A 26,250-nucleotide genomic window follows, 5' to 3' on the forward strand; every position below is an offset into this window, starting at 1 on the left:
TCTACTTAGGAGACTGTACCTTTAACCATTGCTCTACCCCACCTTCTGAGGAAAATGATTCTGCCAGGGTCTGTATGTATTTGAAAGTCATTAATTAAACTATAATCAATCAGAGATGTCAAATGTGAATATGCTTTTCTCATTATGAAAGTGAATTTGTGAGTTACAAGCAATGAAAAGGAAAGTGAGCATAATAAACATGCCAAAAGATTAAACAGTGTAAATGTTAAGAATAGGGACAGTACAGATAAAAAGCAAATAATCATATTTAACATTCGAGGTCATACCATTTAAATTATCTACATGTACCAGAAAACTACAGTGGTATCACTTATAAATTATGCCCCAAGAGAACCGTCTCATTAACCTTGTTCAAAACATTAATGGTACTTTATTTCTAAAATAATAAACTGATCAAAATGTTTAAACAATGTTTTGTTTATTAAACAACACTATTCATATACCTCACATTTCTACAGAAAAAAAGTCAATCTTTATTTTCAGAAAATTTGACATAATTTGTTTTTACCTTTTCAGATACAAAGGAGTATAGAGATCTGACTCTATTATTCTAAGCCTGAAGTCAGTCAAGAAGAAAGTATGACTCTTAATAAATGTGGATCTACTTTCCTTTGAAGGTATCTTTGAAAGGAGCAGTAGGAGGGAGAGCAATGTAGATCTTCTCTAAAACTGAATTTCAAAGGATTTATTTGGCCCATCTTCCACATGGGAAGAATTAGAATTTTTTTTTTTTTTTGCCTTTTATTTCCCATTGTGAGACCCTAAATGGGAAAATAAGTCCAGGTTATGTAGGTCTCTATGTGGTATTAGATGCAATAGCAGCCATAGTGCAAGGAATGTAGGCCACAAAGGCCTGTGTAACTGGCTGCTGTGAACTTTAGTGGCAAACCTTAAAAAAGGGAAAAGAAAAAGGAAAGAAGACCTTTAGCACTTCCATATAGATCTCAACATCACTCAAAAAACTTTCTTCAACTGGGTCTGATGCATTAACGAGATCATAGAATTACTGCTAATTTAGAATTACATACTTTGGTGAGGAAAGTTTATTATTACAAATAAAATGCCATAGTTTATAAAAAAGAATTGGATGTGACAATAAGCCATATTTTAATATGTGGTTTATTATTGTGTGGATTAAAAGCAGAAAGCTTAAATTAAAAAGATAATTCCTTGAATTTCATTAAACAGTTTTAAAAATTGTTTTGCAGGTATTTAAACAGTGTAGAAACACTGTGAGATATATACATATATATATATATATATATAATGTCTTAAAATCCCAACATTTTAAAAGGAGCTCACCTCCTTTTAAAATTATGACAGATGAAAATTATGATAACTGTAATGTAAAATTAGGCAAACAAGTAAATAAAATTAAGTAAATAATGCAATTTTACCTGGTGCACTTATTAACAATATTCTTATTATTCAAATCTTACCTTTTCTTTATAAAATCTTCCTTAAACTATGATAATTCTTGTAGTTTCTGTATAATACCCAATGTCTGAATGAATATTCAAAAATCAGTCTCATTAATGTTTTAAAAACGCAACTGCTAAACAAACCATGTTTAAGTTTTTCAGCTATGCTAGCTTTTGCATCTCTTGAAACATAACTACTGGGCCAAGAGTTTCTAAATGATTTTCCAGTAAATGACATCTGTATTGAAACCTAAGACACACAGGCACTATAGTAAAGGTTCTGAAAAATTTCATTTTTTATAATCATAAATAAAATTAATCTATGATTTGACGAGGAAAAGAATTATTAGAATAGCAACATGAATCATATTTAAAAGAATATACAAGAGAATTAATTATTCCACAAAAGGTAAAAGAAATATTTTGTTTTGTTTTGTTTTTGGTCAGCAGTGGTTCAGGAGATGAACCAACTGTGGGCTCTCTGGCTATCATTATACAAATTTATCATCAATGAACCAGTGAAGCACGAAACTGAGGGTTAATATAGAATGAAAAGAGACTTTCCCCTCAATATATCACTTTAGAAGCATATATTCTGAGTTCTAAAAGCAATAATCTTCCACATAAAATTCAATACAAGAGTGATCTCCAACCACATTAGATCAAATTATGGCAAGATTCAAATAATATCTAATCCAGGTCCTCATCTTATATAGGAATCCCTGGCATATGGTCATTTCAGCCTCTTCATGGATACCCACAATGATGGGAACTTCAGCCAACAGGGTGCTCACAAATTTTTGGAAAACTCTGTTAGAAAGCTCATGATTTAATGAAAGTAAAGCTGCTTCATCCTTTCAAATTTCTCATAGATTTATCACCATTTTGTCCTGTGGGCTATCACAGGATAGTCAGAATTCCTTTTCTTACCTGATAGCTTTTCGCTATTTAATGATAGCTTTCATTCTTTCACTTCTCCACGTTAAGTCTTTCCACGGCATTTCATAGAATACATCTATAATACACAATAATCTTCCTTTATTTCTCTTTTGAACTTACTCTTTGCTAGCGTGACAGTTTGCCAACGTCCGCCTCAACAAGGAGTGCTCAGAATTGAACACAACATTTAAGATGTGATGATCATTGCAAACTATAATAGGGCATCCGTTTGTGGGACTCTATTAAGTCCAATTTAACAACGCTTAACTTTTGCAGCCACGTTCCATGACAAATATCAAGCATTTGGCCAACAAAACCATGGTCATTAGTTGTGTAGTAGACTTTTCGTACCCAAAGATCTTTCCATTTATGTCTATTCCTATAAGGTGGTATTTTGACATCGAACATGTTAACATGAATCTCTGTATTTGAACCTTAGGTATCTTATCTTCAAAAATATCAAGTTACTCTATTTTCCTTCCTACCAAACTCATATCCCTTCAGTGTTAAATAGTATGGAGCTATGTTGACTTATAATAACCTATCTCAATTTATTACCTCTTAATACTCAAGAATACCCAAGGAAAACATTTTCTTGTATGGCAATTTACATTTAAGAAACCTTGCCCAGTACTTCTTTTTATCTTGTTTATTTTAAAACAAGTTTTTTAGAGAATAATTTAACAGTGCGGTACATCTCCGTAAAAGCATTTCTTAGTAGTTGATCATGATTAAGCGGCAAAATGCAGGTAATGACATGCTCAATTCCACCTTTGAGTCAGGACAAACAGTGTACATCGACGACAACAACAAACCCTTATGCTAATATGCCTGTGACGCAAATATCCATACATACCGCACACGAATTGTGCAGTGAGCTAAAAAAGAAAACAGAAAAGAAAAAAGCTACTACTTTATTCTACTTAAAGTTGTCCTCTATTCAAACTTTTATCTCACTCTTCTCTCCTTCTGCACCATAATTTTCTTTCGAGCAAAGACAGGGAGTTCTGGATGATTCCAATCTCCCCAAATCCACATCACAGCCTCCAATTGAGGTTCATTTAAGTCAGGTTGGAGCTGAGGGAGCCTGGGCTGGAACCGGCCAGGGTTTCATCCAGCTCCTCCCCCAAAACACGCCCCCCAAATCGGAGCCAGAGGAGAGCCCAACCACAGAGGACTTCCACTCAATGAGGGCAACCCCTGAGTAAAGTCCATGCGGACAACCATTCATCTCCTCCGACAACCATTCATCTCCTCCGACCCCCGCCCAGCACTAGACTGCGCTCCTAGCACCGCGCCTTCTTCCGGAGCCTCCTCCCCCGGGCTGGCTAGGGGTGAGCGCAGGGGTTAGTCAGTACGCACGTGACGCGCGATGCCCACATGACACGACCGTGAGCGGGGGAGGGGGACACGGAGTGAAGAAGGGGAAAAGTTACAGAAGACCCGTCAAAGCGCCCAAAGCAATTTGTCCCTTCTTTTCTTCGCCAGCGGTGGCTCACGGATCCCTAAGGGACAGCTGGGGACCCAGGCGCCCCCAGCCCAGCCCCAGAAACGCTGGACGCAGTTCTCCGCTCACCCCACCACCTTCTCTTCCCAGACCCGCTGGTGATGCCGCTGCACCCTGAAGTTGCTCCTTCCTTCTTTCCCTCCCTTCCTCCCATTCTTTCTTTCTTTTCTTCCTTCCTCCCTTCCCCAAAAGCTCTTCATCCGCTTCGGGTGATGCCACTGACGCACATTCAATTTGCCCCAGCAGCTCTGAGGAGGTCAGACCAGGCCGAGCACCTTCCAAAGGGGAGGGTCTAACTGAGCAAACAAAGTTGCACGCCACACCACAACCTGCCCCTCCCCTCCCTTTAGCCCCCAAGTCGAATCCCCGGCGAAACTCACTTGCACTGCGGGTGCTCTCTGGCCCCCACCCCATCATCGCGCAACACACCCCCTTCAACATGCGCGGCCACCCTTTCATTGCCCTGCGCCCCGAGCGGTCCCACCGCCCGGCAAAACACTGAGCAAGCCGCTGCTCTCACCTTGCTTGACACACTTGAGCCGGAGGGGGTCCTTGCAGTGTTTGATCACGGCCAGCACGTCCCTGATGGTGAGCCCCGCCACGGGGGTCTCGTTCACCTCCAGCAGCAGCTCCTCCGACACCAATTTGCTGCCGCTCTCATAGGCCACCTTGCCGGGCTTCACCTCCCCCAGGTAGGGGAACTGTCCATTCTCGGCGCCCCCCTTCAGTTCAAAGCCCAGCTGGCCCTCCGGGTTCCTGCCAATGACACTCTCATGGACTTTGCTAGTCCAGTGGCTTTTCTTTTTCAAGCTTTTGGACATGGCAGTGGGGCGAGTCGCCTCAGTTCCTGGGCTCCTTGGGGTTAGGGGGGCTGGTGGTGAGAGAATGAGGATGGAGGAGCAAGGGGGCCCAGGGGGAAGAACAGCAGACTTTGCCTTCGCCCCCCTCTATTCGGTGCTTTCCCTCTTCTTTGGATGGAGTGTGGACGAGGAATGGGGAGGATGAGAGGGACGGCTGGGCAGAGGTAGGAGAGCTTGGATGAGGTTGTGCTGTCCCTTGAATGACACTCAAGGCTGTGGCCCCGCAGCAGAGGAAGCAGTGGTGGTGGCGTCGGCGGCGGCGGCGGCGGCAGCCGGAGCGAGCAGTAGCCGAGCTGGTGAGCGGGTGTGGTGGGGGTGGGGAAGGAGGGTAGGGATGCCGGGGGCCACTCCTGCGTGGTGCGAGTGGGAACGCGCGCGCGCGCCTGGGTGTGTGTTGTTAGCTGATATCCATGGCAGCTGCAGTGGCAGGGTGCGTGTGCGTGTGTGTGTGTGTGTGTGTGTGTACTAGTTCTACTGTACTGGCAGACGGGAGGAGGCAGGGGAGGAGGGGCGCGCGCGCCGGGTGGGGAGCCACGGAGGGCTTCGCCGCTGCCTCCCTCCCTCCCTCCGCAGCTTGACCCGGTAGTGAAGGCAGAGAGAGAGGCAGGCTGGGTCCGCCTGGCAGCCTACGGGAGGAGGCGGGAGCCGGGAAGGAGGGGAGCCTAGGCCCGGCGTGGGGAGGCCGGCAGGAAGGGCCTCGAGCCCAGTGCGGACCTTTCTTCAGCCTCTGTGCGACCGAGCCGCGCGCCAGGCTCCTGTGCGAGGAGGACGCGCTGACTCCCTCCGACCTGGGCTCCGATGGAGCAGAAATAGCGGGACCTGGACTTGTGGCGCGCCTGGTGCCACATCTCGGGCTCTGCGAGCGTCCTGGCGCGGGATCCTGCCGTGAGAAGGAGTTGGGGCGGGGGACCCGGCGGGGCATTGCGGGAGAAGGCCTGGGATCCCTGGGAGCCTTGTAGCGTGGGGGAGTTCACTGTGTAGAGAGGTTTCATGTCTTCATCTATATAGTCACTTATTTGTCTTAAAGTTCTCGAAATTCCCTCTTAGAGAAGGAGAAAGTTAGAGAACTGGAGGCTGCGTACCCTGATTACGCAGAAGGGAAGCAGCCTCGCATTCCCCGGGGCAGGCCCCCGCCCGCGCGTCCCGCCAGTAGGGGAATTTAGCGGACGGCTGCGGTTGTCTGGTGAAAGGCTATCCAAGGATAAGGGGCTTCACTTTTCCCAAGTAGGGGAAAGAGAAGGGGTCTACAGGGCTAGGGGTGGAGGGAGCGGATGCAGTGAGCAGCCTCCGCAGAGAAATTGACAATTTAACCAGGGACCTGCGGCAGAGACAAGGCGGAGACACTCCCTTGCCCAGGAAAGCCGCCAGAGTCCGGCTTGTACCTGGGGAAGAATCCTTAAGACGGTCTGGCCCAACACTCCTTTGCTCACAGAGAAAGGGGAGAAGACTCCCGAGGGTGAAAATGGTACATTCGGAGCTGGAACTCAGCTCGCTGACCCCAAGCAGTGTTCCCTTCTTTTCGCCAGGTTTGCATCCAAGAGAGGGGAGGACAGGGGCAAAAGGATGCAGGGAGGCTGCTGATTTCCACTGAAGAGCTAATTTCCTGTGAGACATTAACAGTGATTTAAGAAAAAGATTCCTGTAACTGGTAAATGAATTTCATTTGCTTAACTTTTAGATGATATGTTTCAGGCAAAAAAAAAGTTGTGCACCCACTTATCTCTTTAAAGCGGAGGATGAAAAGCATTGAATAGGTAGGATTCTTAATGTCTGAGATGAAGGCGATGTAGGAGGCAAACAATACGGTTAAAAATGTTGAGTCGACCCAAACAGAAAGACCAGGTTTCAATCCAGACTCTGCGGCTTACTGAGAATATGATCTTGAGTAAACTGCTTGACCTTCCTGAGCCTCAGCTTTCTTAGTTGTTAAATGGACTTTAACAATACTAATCTGTTAGGACTGTGGTGAGGATGAAATCAGGGAAATCAGTCACAGCAGTGCTCTCCTGGCACAGGTGAGTAGGAGTTCGAAATGATAATTCCCTCCTCTTTCCCTCTTAGGTATAACTTACTACTTGGGGATGAGGGGGATCAAATGTAGTCAGAACTGGAAGAGATCTTAAAAAAAGATGATTTGTTTAACCTTGTGTCTTTTTTTCACTTGAGAAAACAGATCCTCCGTAAGTTGGCTGCACTAGTTGAAGCTTATTCAGTGAGCCAGGGGCAGTGCCAGGATCTGAAGCCAGAGCTGCAGGCAATGCCCAGGAGTAGGCAAGACTTGATAGCAAAGCCTAATCTCACCCAGAGAAGTTGAGTGTTAGCATTATGAGGCATAGTTCTAAATGGAAACTCATCATGAGAACCGAATATATACATATTGTAAAACCAAATGACAAGCTACCATTCATGGAATATACTAATATTTATTAGGTTCTAACTACATGCAAGATGTTGTTTTATAGGCTTTACACATAATACTTAATTTCTCCTGACATTTTGATAAAATAGGTACTGTTATCTCCTTTTACAGGTAAGGAAACTGAGGTATACAAGGATGAACTTTTGCAAGGCTACAAATCTTGTTAATAGTGAAGCTAACGTTCAGACCCAAGTGGTTCGGCTCTAGACTTTGTCTCAGTTACTGAATTGAACTCTCTGTGCACTTACGATGTGTCATACCAGTTCTCACTACATAGTGTCCCAAAAGATTGGGCCTGCTCTTTCTTTCAGAGACAATTAGGAAAAAAGTAAACAAACGGAGCAGGATTTGGGCATAACAGCATGCTCCTCCCATCCCCCAAATCCCAGGAGTGTCACTGAGGTCAGTGCCAGTTAACTTAGTGCTCTTCAACTTCACAGCTACCCTTCTTTGCCCTAAATTGTGACATTAGAGCTGAAATCTGTAAACGTCTTTATGGTCAGTTGGCACAGTGTTTAGCTTTGTCAATAGAAGGTGCTAGGGGAACACTGCAGAAAGAAAGGGGCTCCTTTTCTTGGTTCCAGTGCTTTCCTGCTTGCTCCTACGGTGTGGTGGCCAGTGAGTGACTTTCTGACCAGTGGTGTGCAAGAAGGCCATGTTACATAATCTTCAGTAAATTTGGCCAGTTCCCTAGTATGTGTCTTTCTATGGAGTACCACTGGCATGTCAGTGGAATGGCTTCCTAGCAAGTTTTACTGAAAACACAGCTGATGGTTTCCTCAGCAGCCCAGTGTGTGACACCTTAAATTTCTGGATCATTAAGTGGACCACAGCCATATTATTTCCAATGAGCGCCTACTTTCAGGCTTAGTAGGGTGGAGGGTGGGTAGGGGGAAGTTCTACTCAGTTATTCCCTCCTTGGGTACTCTCCTAGAGCCTGAGAGATAGTGGCTGTTCCCAATAACCACTATTACTGTATTCTTTAGTGGGATTTTTTCCTGTCCTAATAGTCAATACCCTTTGACTGGATCTTAACTGATAAAAGTGGAACCCTGAGGAAAGCACTATCCTTGGAGTCAGAAATTGGGATCAGATTTTTTTTCTTTCTCTTATGGTATTCCTCATATTCGCTTAATTTCTCCACTGCCTTTACCCTTTTTGGATTTGATGCTATGTCAAGAAAAAATTATTTCATCACTGAGCACTCTGAGTGTAGAGCAGAGTGCTAAATATTGCATGCTATTCCAGAAGAAAAATAGTTTAGGAATCCTAAAAGCCAAAGAAAGAAAGATATGAATGCATTCAGTTCTTAGAAGAGTTCTATGAGATAGATGCTTGTGGCAGACATAGTCTCCACCCAGATCTCCTAGGATCCCTTTGGTTGAATCTGAGTATCCTTCCTCTAGCTTCTGTGTTCTTTTACTTCTCACAGCCTGCCCCGAGAATCTCTTTGGAGGAAGGCCCAAACACTACTAGACTCACTTTGTGTACTGGCATAGAGAGCCAGACAGAACCACCTGCAAGTTTACTTCTTTCCCAGGATACCCTTTGCCAAGGACTTTCCTATAGAGTATAAAAGACCAGCCGTCTTGCCTCTAGTAGCAAGAAAACCTGAGGTGTAATTTACACCCTGAGGCTCCCCTATAGAATTATATTGATGTTAATATTTTGCCTGAAACCACCTTCTTCCCTATCTTGCTTACTGTGGTACCTGATGAGTTTTTCTTGGTAGCATTTCTATAATAAATCACTTGCAGACAATCTTCATCTCAGGGTTTGATCCTGGGGATCCTGACTTAAGACATTGCTATTCTTTTTTTTTTTTCTTTTACAGATGAGGAAACTGAGGATCAGGGCTTTTAAATTGCCCCAAATCACACTACTAATAAGAGATAGAGTTGTGGTACCTTTTTTAGAGGGACCATTATTCTGCTGACTGCAGTACTGTAGAGCATAAAGTTTCTTATCCACACTGTTTCTTAGTTCAGTCTGTCAATATCACTACTCCACGATTATTGTTGTTTGTTTTTCTTTCTCCCTGTCTTTTACCTCAAAAATCTCTATTGTGATGCCAGAGAGACCTTTCTGAAACCTCTCCTTTTTTCTGTGTTTAAAACCCCCCAGTGCCGCCCATGAAATACACAGCAAAGTCCAAACTCCTTATCTTGCTTGGATCCTCCTTTCCACCCTTTTTAACTGTTCAGCCATATTTCTCCATGTACTTCTGAGATTGGAACCCAGGGCAACAAAGCTAATGTGGGTTCTCCAAGATTAACACAACTGAAAGGAGGCCCCTTTATGCCATCTATTCTAGGTCCCTTGGAATATAATTAAAAACAGGAATTTCAACATTGAAATGTAATGATGTTCAGGTAAGGGCAGTAAGGTACATTGACTTGAGTCAATCTCCCACCATGTCTGGGGACTGGGACAGCTGAGCCAGGGGTCCTACCTAAGGGTCAGGCCTGTGTCTTCACTTCTCCTTTCAACCCTTTACTTCTTCCAGAGTTGAACGGCTTACTTTCCTTCTCTCACTAGGCCATTTCATGGCTTGTGTTTGCCTGAAATACAACTCTTTCCCTCCCTGGTCTACACCTGCTCACCCTGAAAGAAATACCTCTGAGCCCACTTTCTTTCTTGGAAGCATTTTATGACTCTTATTTCTGTTATCAACACAGCTTTTATTTATGTCTCCATGTATCCTTTGAAGAAACACAACTTTTCAGGTTCTATGTTTTATTTGCATTCTTAGTGTCTGGCACATTGTCTGACACAGTGTAAAAGCTGAGTAGAATTTTGCCTGATAGCAGATGTGCCTGAAGTGAGGGTGTCCAAAATTTCATTAAATGACGACTGCTTTAATATGAATTCTTGGCTAAGGCAGGAGAATCGCTTGAACCCAGGAGGCAGAGGTTGCAGTGAGCCGAGATCACACCACTGCACTCCAGCCTGGTGAGAGAGGGAGACTGCATTCTCAAAAAAAAAAAAAAAAAAAAAAAAAAAAAAAAAAAAGAATATATATGAATTCTTACTGATAGTATTAAATGATTATCTCTTTACATTCACAGTAATGTCTTACAATAACAGAATGCAGGAGAGCACATATCAATGAAGAAAAGACAAAATGTACTTATCCATGAAGCTGAGGTTAAGAAACCAGTGTCTTCAAGAGCCAGGGACAGCACTGGGTCTGTGCAGAGTTGAGAGATGGTGATGACATGGTGAGACACAAATTCAGTCTATTTCATAGTTTGTGGTCATTCCTATTAATAAACTTCCTTTCACAACTGTTTCAATATTCACACAAAAATGTTAACCCAATCTGCAGTTGTACCCCTTGAATGTAAAATAAAAAACAAAAGCCCACAAAAATAGGAATCCACACTTAAAAGGTGGATTTATTTAGCACAGTATGGAGTTTCTTAGACTTCTCTATCACTGTCTCTAACAATGACATACTCACCTAACCCCACTAAGAGCAACTTTATTTCATCTCTAGTTTTCGTCTAAAGATTCATGTGGATTTTAGATTCTACTCTTTTGTAGGTTCGTATTTGTACTATTATAAAATGTGACTCTCTCTCCAAACTTTGCCTAAATTATGGAATGATTTTTCATGTTTATCCAGTGGTTTCCAGCATTCTTGGCCCAGTCTGGGATTCTACTCTTTTGTAGGTTCGTATTTGTACTATTATAAAATGTGACTCTCTCTCCAAACTTTGCCTAAATTACGGAATGATTTTTCATGTTTATGCAGTGGTTTCCAGCATTCCTCACCCAGTCCAGGGACACTGTGGGTGTGCCCAGCTTAAGTCCAGTAACTGGAAATACAAGCCCAAGTTCTGGAGAGTTTGAGCTGCAGAGATATATATGGGAACACTTTGAATCTTGACTCATTGGCCATAACCAGCAGAGTGGAAAATACAAGAAGAGAAAAAAACATTGAACTGCGATTTTATAACATCCTTTACTAGGCAGAGAGAAGAGGAAACACCAGGAAAGAAAACTGTATTACGATGTGAAAACTTAATGTTGAGAAATTCAGGCATCTTGGGGTTAGTGAGGAGAAGTTTTAGGGGCTTAGATTCTTCTAAACACATGTACAGAAATGCATATTTCATCTGATATCAAATGGCATTTATAGTGCTAATCTTTACCTCAAGACTTCACATCTTTTGGTGATTGCATCTTTTAGGTTTATAGCAGCTAAGTTTGCATGAAAACACCAGGGCTGTTTCATTTCAGTCAAGAATTAATGTTCATTGATTGTGCTTCTGCATTTCATGTAACTATTGTAGAATTTGTTTTAGTTTTATGAGGGAATAATTGTTCCAACTTCTATATAACTCAGGAATTTACTCTCAAACAACACTGTCAATTAGTTACTTATCTCTCTGGAAATGATCTGGGAACATGGAGAGGAAAGGGAGGAAGGGGCAAAATCTGACCACTTAAATCTAAGCATATTAGATCATTTTATGCTAGAAAGTCCTGAATGATGTGACTTTCGTTCTTGTAAAACACCTCTTTCCATAGATTCATGGCCCAAACAGTATATAAAGAGTGGGGAAGGAACTGCATTTGCAAATAGTTCAAATCATTGCTCCATCTTAACTACGCAGTTCACAAAGTGTGAAGAAATGTGATCATCTCAAAAAAGATAATGGGGAAAAAATATGTTTTGTTCTGTGACTTTAAAGTCTTGCAATATTTTACATAAATGATAATGGGTGCTTTAATAAGAACTCTTGATACTTTTGTTATTGTATTCAATATATGCATATAATACAACAGGATGATATTGTTTTGGATTTGGAAATGTATTCTTTCTTATGCAATCTTATGCAGTCATACTGCTTGAATATCATTACCTGAATTTATCTTTCTTTTTTTTGTTGTTGTTTTACACTCTACTTATTTGGTGCCTGTCAGTCTTTTGTCGTCAGTTTATATTCTACTAAACTCAAAAAGACAATCTCATACCTTTTGTAATTGTAGGCATTCTTTACTAGATTTTTAAATACACTTCAAAAATTCAAGTACTTTGATTTCATGCCATCAAGTAGCTGAATCTATCCCCCCGTCTCTTTTTAAATTTAAGTGAGTAGTTCAATTTCTGTCACTTTCTACTTTGTGAATTCTAAATCTTTTAAAACCATCTTGCCATTTTTCGTGCACTTACCCTTACAGAAAACTCTGTGAAACACTACTTATCTCTACTTTTATGTTTTTAACTCCTTTTTTATATTACTATTCCCTCTGCTTTCTAAATGCACATATTAATTTGTTCTTTTTATTCTCTGTAGCTCTTCTCAGTGTATGAATTCAGTTTCCCATCAGTCTCCATACAATTAAAAAAAAGTTGAGTATTCTGTTATTTTAATAAGATATCTAGTGCCCATATTCTAATTCTGCCCCTTATTTTTAATATAATTTTATTGTTGATTTAAAATGACAACAGTTTCAATTCCCAGAAAGTGAAAGGAAACAAAGGAATAATATTATAGGCTTAATTTTTATCAGTGAACTTGTAGGTGAAGAAAAGATTTGGGGAAGGAAATGAACATATTATATTGCAAAATAGTAAGGAACAATCAGATGTGTTTTCTAGTCTCTGGAAAAGCATGTTTCAAGAAATTCAATGAAAAGTTCATCATGCTTGCTTAGATTGTTGAGAAGCAAAAACACTGATGAACATTTGGAAGCAATGAGAATGTAATTCTAATCATACTCTTTTAATAATGTTGCAAAACTCTCCAAACACTACTCTGTGTGGATGTCTTTCAGAATATGATGAATACTAGTAGTCTTATTCTGCCCTTTTCTCTCTATCACAATATATACATTCTATATTGCATACACATATTTTCCAAATATTACATATAATTTCATGTAATTTATAGACCTATTAAGGCCCAACCATTTTCTTGGATAGGGGATTCTTTAGAAGTCCAGCTTAAATAAAGCCCGTATAGAAAGTTTTTTTAAAATTTATACATAATCACCTAAAGTAACCTTATCTACTGAACTCTTAGTACATGCTACTGGAACCTTTTATCATGTTTCTTCCTGGCTTGCATTACAACACTGTTGACATATCTCAGCCTTACTTCTAGGCTTCTTTGAGAGCATGACTCATGTTTGTATTCCTCACTGAGGTTGAATGAATAAGAGAAACTACAGTAGTAGGAAAAAACAGTACATGTACATATCAATGAATATGAAAGGGTCAAATGGATCTATTATAGTAAGCACAAAATCAACTGACACCAGCAAAGTAAACCCAAAATTTTTAATGGTATTTTAATAGATCAAGAGGAGCAAGCAGATTTTTGAGACAGTTGTCTCCTACTTTCTCTATCACAGGGAGTAATTTTAAAAGAAAAATGGAGGGTAAGTTTCTTTAAGAGAAAATTGTAGTTTAAAACAGGTCATGGGATAATTAGAAATAATTTAATTTCTTTAGAGGATTTTAATCTTTCAACTGCTTGCAATTAGATCCTAAGGCAATAAAAGAATAAGGAGATTTGGAAAACCATTGTCTGTAATCTCTGAAGAAAAGTGGACATTAGGGGAGTCAGTTGAAAAGCAAAGCTATCACCATTTTCTAAAGAGGAAAAAGGTGAACCTCACAAACTATAGACCAAAAAAATAGGACATCGAGAGAAAGAATATGAAGCTAGCATAGGTTCACAAAGAATGAGTCAAATCAAACAACATGCATTTTTTATTTATAAAGCATGACTTGTTCATTGTCAATTCATGTTAGCTTAATCATTAGGCATTAATGCCATCACTGCAATGCATATGTCAGCAATAAATAATCAAAGACCAGGCTTCCATCATTCTGTTTAATATCTTCAAGTAATGCTTAAGTTTGCAAATGCTCTTTTAACACATTCTCCATATGCAGCCTGCCCAGCACTGCACACAATAGACCTGTTACTTCCCCCTCACGAGCACTCCTAATATTTCATGTGCTCATCCAATTGACTTCTCCCACTGGTGCCTCATATTGAATTTGTAGAATCACACCTGCTCCTTTTTCAAAACTCTTCTGAGTTTTTTCTTAAATAATTCACTGACCCCAAAGTTGTCAGATATTTGAAGACTACTCGCACAATTTTAATATTATAAATGTATAATGTAAATGTAATTAAGATTTGTATAATGTACGATGTACTTTGGTAAATAAAAGTATGCTGTGAATAAATACGTATGATACAATTCAAAATTTTACATAAATATGTGATAAAATTTAGCTCATATTCTTTTTTTTTTTCTTTGAGACGGAGTCTCACTCTGTTGCACCCAGGCTAGAGTGCAGCAGCATGATCTCAGCTCACTGCAACCTCTACCTCCTGGGTTCAAACAATTCTCCTGCCTCAGCCTCCTGAGTAGCTGGGATTACAGGTGCCCGCCACCATGCCCAGCTAATTTTTTTCTATTTTTGTTGTTGTTGTTGTTTTTAGTAGAGACGGGGTTTCACCATGTTGGTCAGGCTGGTCTTGAACTCCTGACCTCAGATAATCCACCTGCCTCGGCCTCCCAAAGTTCTGGGATTACAGACGTGAACCACGGTGCCCGGCCTAGTTCATGTTCTTTAAGGACAATTATGAATATTTTTATGCACTGTTAATTTTCATTAAGATATTGATCAATTAATAGCTATATATGTTCTATAAATTAATCCTATCTAGTTTCAATCTTAAATTGTTTGCATATACCAATCTAGTTTATTGTTTGCATATATTTTATAGTGTAGAGATTAGGCATTTTAATAAAATTTTAAAATTTCCAGGACATACTGTTAATGACTATGCTTCCTACTATAGGCCATAATTAATTTTTTTCTATTGTCAACAATATTTTGGTAGGGATGATCAGGAAATAAGGAAATGTTTCCTTCATTTGTTAACAATAGGTGTTTGGGGATTTTAAAATGAAAATTGAAGAAGTAAAAGACACCATATATTTAGTTTGTTTGATTTCGTGGCTTCAAGAGTTCAATAATTTATTGAAATATTTTACAGACCAAAGAACAACAGATATATTACGTTTATAAGCCCCCACATATTTTAAAGGATAATGGTTTATATATGAAAATTCCCTGAACCTACACTTCATCAGGAAAAGCTAAATAAAAGAAGTTTACATTTCCTAGGACTAATGGAGATTTATTTCCCAGTCCTCTTCTCTGGAGACAAATGTAGGTCTCTCTTGAAAAGCAGAAAGTTTTGCATATGAGGTATGATTTAGTGGGCTAGAAACATCTTTTCCACCCTCCCCAAAATGTTTCACTATGTTTTATCATACTATCTGATAATTTTGCACTAAAGTTTTCTTTCTGTGTTAAGAAAATGCAAATATCTCTGAATGGGTCTCTTTGCTTTAGTCATACTCATATGGCTACTACTGAACAAAATATGTTCATTACAGGATGAAGGGAATGTTGCCAGCCAGCAAATCCCTAGAGTTTGCACTACACCAAACGTTGCTTAGCAATTTCCACGATTTTCTCAGTCTAATTTGCAAGAATCAAGGAGATGTTTGTGTATGCTACATGAAGTTGTAAAATTGGTATTTATTGTATGTTTCTATATCGAAAGCTTTACAAACAAAGGAAATGGAAAGTTAACAGGTGGATATGATAGTGTGGCACTACTTTAGCTGGATGGTAAGGGAGAGCTTCTCTTAGGAAGTGTTTTAGGCCAGGACTTGAATAATGAACAGTATCTAGTTGTACAAAAATCTGGAGGAAAGACTTTTCAGGCCCAGGAGAAATGAAAATTCTTTTCATGCATACAAGAATGAAAGTGAAAATTACCTACTCTATGTCCTGAAGTGGGAAGTTGGCTTGCCAGAGAGTAGGTAATTTTCACTTTGATTCTTTCATGCCTTCAGTTATACTACTTCTTAGGTTAGTTCATAAGGGTTTCCACAATTTGGTTCCCACTTAAAATTTAAAACTTCCCTAACCCATTCCCACCATATATTGTGCTAATCCATGCATATGTGACTTTGCGTATGCTGTTTTCATTGTTTAATATTCTTCTCATGCATTCGTTCTTTCCTGATAACGAACTCATCTTTGAAACTCCCCTTCAAGCATCCTCTACTTTAGGAGGCCGCTTCTCACTGTCTCCTGCCTACCACCCATTGAATTGTTCAATTTTTAAGCTGCCATTGTCTTGTGCAGTTGACACATTTCTTTGCAATTACTGATTTACATGTCTGCTTTTATCACTGGTGAGGTTCTTTAGGACAGAGACATTATTAATTCATCTCTGGGCACATATGTTCCAACATATTAGAAGTACTACAGAGTGCTATTACTATGTAGTATGTAGTATTAGTAGTAGTTACTCACAAATCATTTTTAAATAAGTGATTATAATATCTTTTTGTTATTATGATTTAACACAAGATGGAATTTATTTTCAGAAGTTTCCATGATATATTTGTTCTATTTAAAATCCAATAGCCATTAGAATATTACCATTATTTAATGTAAAACAATAAAATATTAAATATGATCGTTCATATTTAATGCAAACCGAACTCATGGAAATATTGTGTAAAGATCAAGTAATTTTTGACATACAATTTTAAACTCAACTTTTCATATAGCATACCTTATGATATATTTTCAGCCTACTTTTAAATATGTTGGCATTGAAAGCCAGTTACTAATTCGCTGAATTCATGATTTCTTTTTAAGTTATAGAAGTGGAATTATGTTTGAGATATTCATTGCATTACATTTACCAGAACTTGAGTTCTTAACATGGAACCTGAGAGTTTCTCCAATTCTTAAGTCCCTGGGAGAAATAGATTAGCTGGATGAGGAACTGAGAGGAAAAATGGTCAGAGATGTAGCAAGAGTTGGGAAGAAGGAACAATGATTTGCTTTCAAGGAGATTTTTTCATTGGTCTGTTTTCAGTGACAAACCCACTGCGATAATACATGTAAAGTGAAAACATTCAGGAAGTTCCCTTAGAAACCTCTTTTCTGGCAGTTCCTAATTCTACAACATTGTATAAGTGAAATACCATAGTTACTGTCATAGTAAATTGAGCCAAGAGAAACAAGGGAGCAGGAGAAGAAAAGAATTAAAGAGAGTTTTGTCTTTCAGTCTTCACTCTGTTTCTTCTTGCTTTTACCAGTCATTCAGGTTTATATAATTTCTTTAGAGAGGCTTCTACTATGCAGGTCTTCCTTAAAGTCATTGGTATTACCTGGCATGATATGTGAGCCTTTAATATCAGTCCCTTTATCTCTTTATTTTTAAAGTTTATATCAGTACAGAGTCCTGGATTCTTAATTAATTTAATAGGTTAGACTTTATGCTAATATTCTTCATTTTGATGCTCAAATTTTCCAAAATTTGGCCAGCAGGGTTCCTTAAAGCTGGGTACCTTGCCCTTTCAACATGTCCCTCTGATTCTTTATTTTTATTTACTTATTTATTTATTTATTTATTTATTTATTTATTTATTTATTTAGAGACTGAGTCTTGCTCTGTCTCCCAGCCTGGAGTGCAATGGCACAATCTTGGCTCACTGCAACCTCTATCTCCCAGGTTCAAGCAATTCTCCTCCCTCAGCCTCCCGAGCAACTGGGACTACAGGCATGTGCAACCATGCCTGGCTAATTTTTTTTGTATTTTTAGTAGAGACAGGCTTTCACCATGTTGGTCAGGCTGGCCTCGATCTCCTGACCTCAAATGATCCATCGCCTCGGCCTCCCAAAGTGCTGGGATTACAGGCGTGAGCTGCCACACCCAGCCGTCCCTCTCATTCTTTAAGTACTTCCATGTTTTCTAAGGTACAAGATGTTCCATATTATTTTGTTATTTGTCTTCCCCAGCTCTGAAATCTGCCTTTCCTTCAAGGAGCCTTGGTTCTTTCTAGTGACAAATTATATTTAGAAAGAAGATCTGGGTATTTGACTTGTATATTGCTATTAATTGGCCATTGTTTCTAGTCTCTTTCAGTAGACAGAGCTAAGAAATGTAAAAGGAAATATTTGAATGTATGTATATGTGATATATTAAGTACATTTAAACATATTAAATTCATGAGTTCATACTAATACTTTCAATAAGCCACAATTCCCTTTTCATGTTTTCGAAGGAAAAATATCCATTGTCTATATACAGTGGACATAGATAGTAATAATACTGATCTTGAAAAGAGCAGTCTTAAATAGATCCCATTAATAGTTAAAGATAACATATCTTAGAATTCTAGATATTAGAGAGATTATCTAGAGCTGTAATCTAGATATTTTATAGATCTTTGCTGTGCTGTTTTGAATTTGTGTTGGAGTAGAACAATCAGATGACAAAAGCTCATCCCACATGGAAAAATCAAAGCATTCATTACAGAGAGAATTTTGAAATAAATGCATATATAAAAAATATATATGCATATATAATGCATATGTATATGCATATAAAATATATATATATAAAATGAGGGTTATAAACAATGAAGGAAATAGTGATACTATCTATGTGGGAACAATACTAGTATCCTCCCTTTGGATGAATACAGTAGCTACAGATGCAATTCTGGGGACTCTGTTTAGCAATAGCTTAACTATTGCTTGGCTACAAGCATGGATAACTTGTTCAAAGATAATGAGGAGTTGTAAATATTTAAATAAACAGGATTTGCAACATAAAAAGCTTTGTGACTATGTGTCTGAATTCTTAGAGTTTTCTCCCAGCAAGACCTTGGATGTGGCAGACTTTTCTGTAATTGTCCATCTCGCCCCTATTTCATGAAAAGCCAGAGCTTCTCTACTTAGTTTGCTAACCCCAAATATATAAATTCAATAGAAGTACTAGCCTGTTTTTACTGGTTTATTTGCTTTATCTAAAAAAAACAAGGCATAGTTTAAAGTCTGTTTTTGATAGCATAACAAAACAAAGGTTCTCATTTTAATAATGCATCACATATACACTTGGTAACTATTGCATAGTAATAATTTAATAACTTGAGAAATATATTTATGCATGTATGTGTATATGTTCATATATATGTTATTTTTAATTCAGAAGTAAAACAAATATTGGAAGAGGCCACAGTTATTATAAAAATAATTTGACCAGTATTGGACAATGCAAATAGCAATCATTTAGAAGTTTCTGTACAACAGATGCCATATGTGTTACATTTTATTTGATCATCAAAATTGTCATAGATATTATTATCCCCATTTCATAGAAGAAACTGAGATTATATAATTTGTTCAACTTGACCAACTTCTTATAACTAATACATAGTAGAGATAAGGTTGAAACCTCATTAACCAACTTCTTATAACTAATACATAGTAGAGATAAGGTTGAAACCTCATTAGGTTTGACTCCAGACCCCAGCCTCTTTTGAGTGCATCATAAAAGGCTTTGGTCTGCCCGTGGCCAGTAACAACTTTTACTAAATTGATTCTTTGCTTTTTATCTGTAAAAGGAAGTTATTCACCTATTTTGATGATCCCCAATGTTTTTAACATCAATAAATGTGTCCACCACACATGATAGTTTTTAATGTTTTGTTTCCATGATTACAGGATTAAAAAACTATTAATTAGTGATACTTTTAATTTTGATTTTATTAATTAAAACACATCTGTCTACATCTGAAGAATAGCACTTGTGACAACAGCATAGACGGCTTCATTTTGAGGAGTAAATTACAATTGAACATGACCAAATATACATAGAGAAGGCGTGGACCACACAAATGTGATTGAAAGCTGGCGTGGAGTCATCTTAAATTGACTTTTTCCCAAAGGGCCCCTAAAAGAGGGTAGAATCCCAACAGATAGAGTCTATGGAGAGATAGACTGCTGAGACCCATATTATGGTCAGTGAAGTGCAGGCAAGGAAGGGATCCTTAGCAAAATGGGGAGAGGAATGGATGGTCTGAAAAACCCTGAAGGAACTGAAACACTCTGCAAAGGAAAGAAGAACAAGTATCAGCTTTGACCCCTGCCAGACCTAGGCAGCAACAACGGCAGCTCACAAAGCACCAGAACAAACGCGCTTTCTTGTGCCCCTACATGTCTTCCCTTCACCGTCTTGAACCCTGGTGTCATCATAAACTGTGTAAGTTAACAACTGAGGAGGGGAAGAATGATAAATTGGGAAAATAGAAAAGTGTCTGGGCCCTACTTTCATACCGTAGGCCAGCCTTCTGTAGCATGGCAGATTAGGCAAGTGCAGAAGCCTTAATTTTGAATGAAAGTTGGAGTTTTTGTTCTGCTCTGGCTGTACCTATCAGTTTCAAAACTGGAATAGTTTAAATGACTAAAGTACTAGGAAGATTTTATTACTTAATATAACTATGGAGAACTGACCAAGATTTTATCTAGGGGGAGGAGTATCACCCTACAGAGCAGACTTTAAGGGACATTATGAGAGAAAACAGTTACTTAGTGATTTAATGTTGCCAATTCTGTTCTTTAGAATACCATCATGTATTTATATCCCTATATATCACATAACTAAAATATACATTTATCTGTACGCGTGTGTATCATATGGAGCACATTTTCTTTTGCAGGGTTTCTTTGTTTTAAATGTCTATTTGGTTATTTTCTTGATTGAATTTCTGTGTATGCTTTTTTCCTCAATGCTTTAGCTGTAAGCGAATAAGGTAAGGACTTTGTATGCAATATTCTACATGTTTTGTTTTATAATTAGAGAATATCTTATTTTATCTAAACCTCGTGTATCACGTGATATATTTGACACCCTGTCATATATCATACTTGGATGCAAATGTTTATGAAACACAAATCATCTCAAATCAACAGGATCAAAATTATATTTGAAAAATGTATTCAATAATATGTGTAAGACAAGATAAAATTAATTCTAATTGAATTCACACAGCGTTTGAAATTGGATGTAAATCTGTAATATCAAATTACATTACATATGAATTATTATTATATTTGCATTCAGGAAATTGTACTGTGTTCACTTCTGAGTATCACTTAGAAAGAACATTAGAACAGATACCCTATTTTCACTTTCTCTTCTCTTTTCCTGCTCCTTTTCTTCCTCTTTTCAATAACCTGTCATTGAAAAATCTCTCCATCTTAATTATCAATATGAAAGACTGATTCTGAGAAATGTAGAGAACCTAAGATTTGCATTTTGGTGGAATATAGAATATAATTAATAAATATTTTTATAAGTATGTAAAATATTTAAGAGGTAACAATTTTAAGATCTTAAAAGTCTTCTATCAAATACTGAATTTTAGATGTTAAGGCTAGTAGAGCTGTACAAAAAACAACAGCTTCTTGTATGAATGTTCCTCAGTTTAAATATTTAGTGTTCTATTATCAGTATGTGGGCATTAAAAAAACAAGTCATTTGAAACTGATAGAGATAATTAAGAAATTCTTAGATTTTGGGTATAGGTGCTGCAACTTAGAATTTAAGTGTCGTCCAAAAGAGATTAGTATTGGTCATAACATGGACTCTAAAGCCACCATTTAAATGAAGCATGTAAAAAAGAATATTCTAGTACACAAAAGTTATTAATGGCCTAGAATGACCTCCTTCTCACTCATATGATGCAAAGAATAAAGTATATAAAAATGTTTGTTACAATGGCTATCCATAAAAAAGAAAACCCTCCAAAACAGCAAAATTGAATAGGTATCCACAGTCAACTTTATCCTGAAAATTGCCTAGAAATACTGGTTGTGATTACACAGCATCCTGAGACCAATGAATCTTTAGACAGTAATAATTTCCTACTCTAAAGCTATTCTCTACTTCCTCCTTAGTGACAGAGCTCCTTGCTGCTCAAATTTTATGCCAGATAAAATATTCACCTTCTCGGACTCCCTGGCACCAGGCATGGCCATGTAATGTAAGTGTAGGCAATGAGACTAGGTATGGACCCATTAGGGGTTTCTTAGAATGTTTTTGCTTTTCTAATATAGACAACCCTTTGTCTCTTTCTCTTTCTCCAGCCTACAGCACAGCTGATGAAAGAGAAGACATCTTGCTGCTATTTGACAAGCAAGAAGATAAAAGCTTTCCTATAAAGATGATGGAGCAAAAAAATAGAAGGGGCCTAGACTCCCTACCTTCACACTTCCTGCTATAAAAGCATTGCTATTATAAGGTTAATCTGCAGAAACAGACTTCTATGTCATATGCTTAAATGCATCAAAATTCATACAATATCCATTAAATTGGTAAAAGTATCCATTTTAAAGGATTAATCTGAGGGACCCACAGACACTTAACACAATCAAATCTCAGAAAAAAAATCAGTTATTTCATTGTGATTTTGAGGCTGATCTTTTATGATCTTTTAGTTATCAAACTGTTAAATACATTTTAACTTTCAAATTTTATGAATAAAGGAGATGAATCCTGTTATTTTCTCAGTGTGAGTGTGATGATGTGTGTCATATGTGCCTATGTATGCACACACATGTACTCAAGGAGCCTGAAAGGGACCATGACTTTCTGGGCACTCAATGCTACTTATCTCTAACTCCTCCTTCAAATGTCCCCATTCTAAGTCTACTTCCTTAGGGAATAGGTACAAATATATCCCATTAAACATGATTTAAGGATGTATTTATTTTAAACTTGTCATCACTGGTGGTTGGAGTGTGTGTGTGTGTGTGTGTGTGTGTGTGAATTCTGACTCATTTATTTTATCTGATGGTAAGATACCCTATTGAAGAGATATTTATTTATAGAGCCAAACAATGAGCTTCTTTCTCACTCTTGGACTTCTGCTCTAGCTGTCAGCCACTCTGAATATAGAGAACAATTAATAGCCAGTGATCTTTAATTTGGGAGGGAGAGTAATATAACCATTTCACATATTAGTAATTTAAGCCCTAAAGTGACATTTTTGTACAAAGTCAGTGCAGATGCTGTCTGCCTTGATAATAAAAATGGTCACTTTAAATATCACGTAAGCCACCCCATCACATCATCTCATTGAAATGAAGGAAGATGAAAAGTTACTGAGTCAAAACAATACTTGAAGGAAAACAACTTCTCAAAGTCTGGAAGCTGTTTCCATGGGAACTGGCTGGACTGATAAATAATTGGAGGCCTTTGCATATATTGTCCCTTAAATGTGAGCAGCACTTGGGAGGAAGAAGGCTGAACAAGGCTGCATTTTTGACCCACTGCCCATCCCTATTACAGAGATTTAGGGATTTTGCCAATCACAAATTCAAACAGCCATCCATTTCCTGAAACATAATTTAATTTTAGTGGTAGCTAGGGACATTGCTTCCTTAGATTTTACTACCCTCTGTGTACTGATATCCATCAAACACACAGAAAATGTGGTTCCTTGTAAAACAACATGAATAAAGAAGGGTTGGGAAAAATGTTACATGGAAACTTGCAATGTGATATCAACCGTAGGCAAGGACAGTACTTATAAGCAATGCTTGGGAGGTATATAAGATTCTTAAATACTGTTTCAGGGGGGAAAAATTTAAAGACAAGACAATCTGAATGATCCAGAAATAAAGTATCAACCTAGAAGACAGAAGAAGGCAACAGATTAGGATTCCTTTTCACTATAGTCAAGCATACTTAAAGCTAGAAATTGTTCAGAAAGTTACATACATTAATCTGCCTTCTGATTTAAGAATACAAGGAGGCTTCTGTCAACACTTAAGTAGGTAGTGAGAGATACCTACAGAAGCCTATGTCCCTTTTTTTTCATTTCAACTTTTAGTTACAGGGGTTACACGTGTAGATTTGTTACATGGGAATATTATGTGATGCTGAGGTTTGGAGTATAGATCCCGTCATCCAGGTAGTGAGCATAGTACCCAATAGGTAGTTGTTTAACCCACTCACCATTCTCTCTACTCTACAGTAGTCCACAGTGTCTGGTTGTTCCCATACTTATGTCCATGTTTTTAGCTCCCACTTACAAGCAGAAACTTGAAGTATTTGTTTTTCTATTTCTGCATTAATTTATTTAGGATTATGACCTCCAGCTCCATCCACGTTGCTGCAAAAATATGATTTCATTCATTTTTGTTGGATGCGTAGTGTTCCATTGTGTATATGTACCACATTTCCTTTATCCAATCTATGGTTGATGGACACCTGGGTTGATTCCCTGTCTTTGCTATTGTAAATAGTGTGACAATGAACATACGAGTGCTGTGTTTTTCTGGTAGAATGATTAATTTTCTTTTGGGTATATACCCAGTGATGGGATTGCTGGATCAAATGGTAGCTCTGTTTTAAGTTCTTTGAGAAATCTCCAGAGTGTTTTCCACAGCAGCTGGACTAATTTACATTCCTCCAACTGTGTATAAGCATTCTCTTTTTGACCCAGCCTTGCCAGCATCTGTTGTTTTTGACTTTTTAATAATAGCCATTCTGACTGGTGTGAGATGGTATCTCACTGTGGTTATGATTTCCATTTCTCTGGTGATTAATTATGATGAGTGTTTTTTCATCACTTGTATGTGTTTGTTGGCCACTTGTATGTATTCTTTTGAGTAGTGTCTGTTCATGTCCTTTGCCCATTTTTTTTAATGGCGGTTATTTGGCTTTTGCTTGTTGATTTGTTTAAGTTCCCTACAGATTCTGGGTATTAGGCCTTTATCAGATCCATAGTTTGCAAGCATCTTCCCCGCTTCTGTAGGTTGTCTGTTTACTTTGTTGATAGTTTCTTTTCCTATGCAGAAGCTCTTTAGTTTAATTAGTTCCTACTTGTCTATTTTTGTTTTTGTTGCAATTGCTTTTGGAGACTTAGCCAAAAATTTTTCACCATGGCCTATGTTGAGAATATTTCCTAGGTTGTCTTCCTCAATTTTTATAGTTTGAGAAATATTTAATCTATTTTGAGTTAATTTTTGTTATGGTGAAAGGTAGGGGTCCAGCTTCAATCTTTTGCATATGGCTAACCAGTTATCCCAGCACCATTTATTAAATAAAGATTCCTTTTTCCATTGCCTGTTTTTGCTGGCCTTGTCGAAGCTCAGATGGTTGTAGGTGTATGGCTTTATACCAGTACCAACCTTTTATAGTTACTGTGGCTTTACAGTATAGTTTGAAGTTGGGTAATATGATGCCTCTGGCTTTGTTCTTTTTGCTTAGCATTGCTTTGGCTATTTGGGCTCTTTTTAAAAAGAATTTTAAAATACTTTTTTCTAATTCTGTAAAGAATGATGCTGGTAGTTTGATGAAAATAGCATTGAATCTGTAAATTGCTCTGGGCAGTACGGCATTTTAAAAATATTGATTCTTCCAACCCATGAACATGCAGTTTTTCCATTTATTTGTATCATCTCTGATTTATTTAAGCAGTGTTTTGTAGTTCTTGTATAGATCTTTCAGCTCCTTTGTTAACTGTATTCCTAAATATTTCACTTTCTTTGTGTCTATTACCAGGCCTATTAAGTAGGAGTGAGTAATCTTTATTCAAGGATGAACACACAGAACAATATACAAGTGAATAAACAACACCTATCTTGAATAAAGAAAGCAGATGCAAACAAACTGTGACTTATGGATGAAATTCTTCATCTTAAGAGAAGGGGAGAATTATCCTAAAACACTTCTTGAAATGGTTTTGCTATAAGAAGCAGAATAAATTATTTTAAAACATGCAGAACTGAAGCAGGCAATCTAATTAAAAATATTTAGTAACACATATCCTGATAAACTTTTAGAAATGTTAAGAATAAAGAAATTATTAAAACCTGGGTTCCCAAATATATAGGTTACCTAGAAACCAGAAAAAAATACAAGAAAGCTAACATACGTTCCAGGCTGGCTTTAAAATTTAACCTTGGCAAGACCAAATACAAAAAGATAATGGAAAGTGTTTAATGAGATTTTTATTTTCCTTTTTCTTTTTCTGCAGGGTGACAAGGCCAAGTAGCAAGTGGCAACTGATTTTTATTTTAATTTTCTGATATGCAAGGGTTCATAAATTATGGTACTGACATAGACCCCTGAAAAGTTTACTCAAGCAAATAATCCAGGGGGCTAAAAGTTAATTAAAATTGAGAAGAACCAGAAAATTTGGTATAAATGTTCTTAT

At 38.0% G+C, this 26,250-nt stretch overlaps 1 protein-coding gene and 1 long non-coding RNA gene across 16 annotated transcripts in view, besides 1 other annotated feature; one reads left to right on the forward strand and one right to left on the reverse strand.

Moving 5' to 3' along the window:
* Positions 1-5,056, reverse strand: part of MAGI2 (membrane associated guanylate kinase, WW and PDZ domain containing 2) — a 1,436,613-nt gene extending 1,431,557 nt beyond the window's left edge. For all 12 annotated transcript variants that reach the window (XM_047421093.1, XM_017012845.3, NM_001301128.2 and 9 more), the window contains exon 1: positions 4,409-5,056. In XM_047421093.1, coding sequence (XP_047277049.1) covers positions 4,409-4,709 — 301 coding nt within the window. In that variant the 5' untranslated portion in view covers positions 4,710-5,056. The remainder of the gene's footprint in view (positions 1-4,408) is intronic.
* Positions 3,502-3,796: an enhancer, noted in NCBI's record as "tiled region #13814; HepG2 Activating DNase unmatched - State 1:Tss, and K562 Activating non-DNase unmatched - State 24:Quies". NCBI's record gives its function as "activates a minimal TATA promoter and a strong SV40 promoter by Sharpr-MPRA in HepG2 and K562 cells {active_cell/tissue: HepG2 | K562}" and the evidence as "EXISTENCE:reporter gene assay evidence [ECO:0000049][PMID:27701403]".
* Positions 4,346-22,597, forward strand: MAGI2-AS3 (MAGI2 antisense RNA 3). Of its 4 annotated transcripts, NR_038344.1 has the most exons (5): positions 5,349-5,633; positions 6,275-6,396; positions 10,236-10,388; positions 21,983-22,068; positions 22,172-22,597. It is a non-coding gene; the product is annotated as an MAGI2 antisense RNA 3 (long non-coding RNA). The 4 variants fall into 4 exon arrangements; NR_038346.1 differs by lacking the exons at positions 5,349-5,633; positions 6,275-6,396; positions 21,983-22,068 and adding exons at positions 4,346-4,580; positions 4,976-5,044; NR_038345.1 differs by lacking the exons at positions 5,349-5,633; positions 6,275-6,396 and adding an exon at positions 4,346-4,580.
* The last annotated feature ends 3,653 nt before the right edge of the window (positions 22,598-26,250 follow it).

Source organism: Homo sapiens, chromosome 7 (genome assembly GCF_000001405.40).
Source record: "Homo sapiens chromosome 7, GRCh38.p14 Primary Assembly".
NCBI lineage: Eukaryota > Metazoa > Chordata > Mammalia > Primates > Hominidae > Homo > Homo sapiens.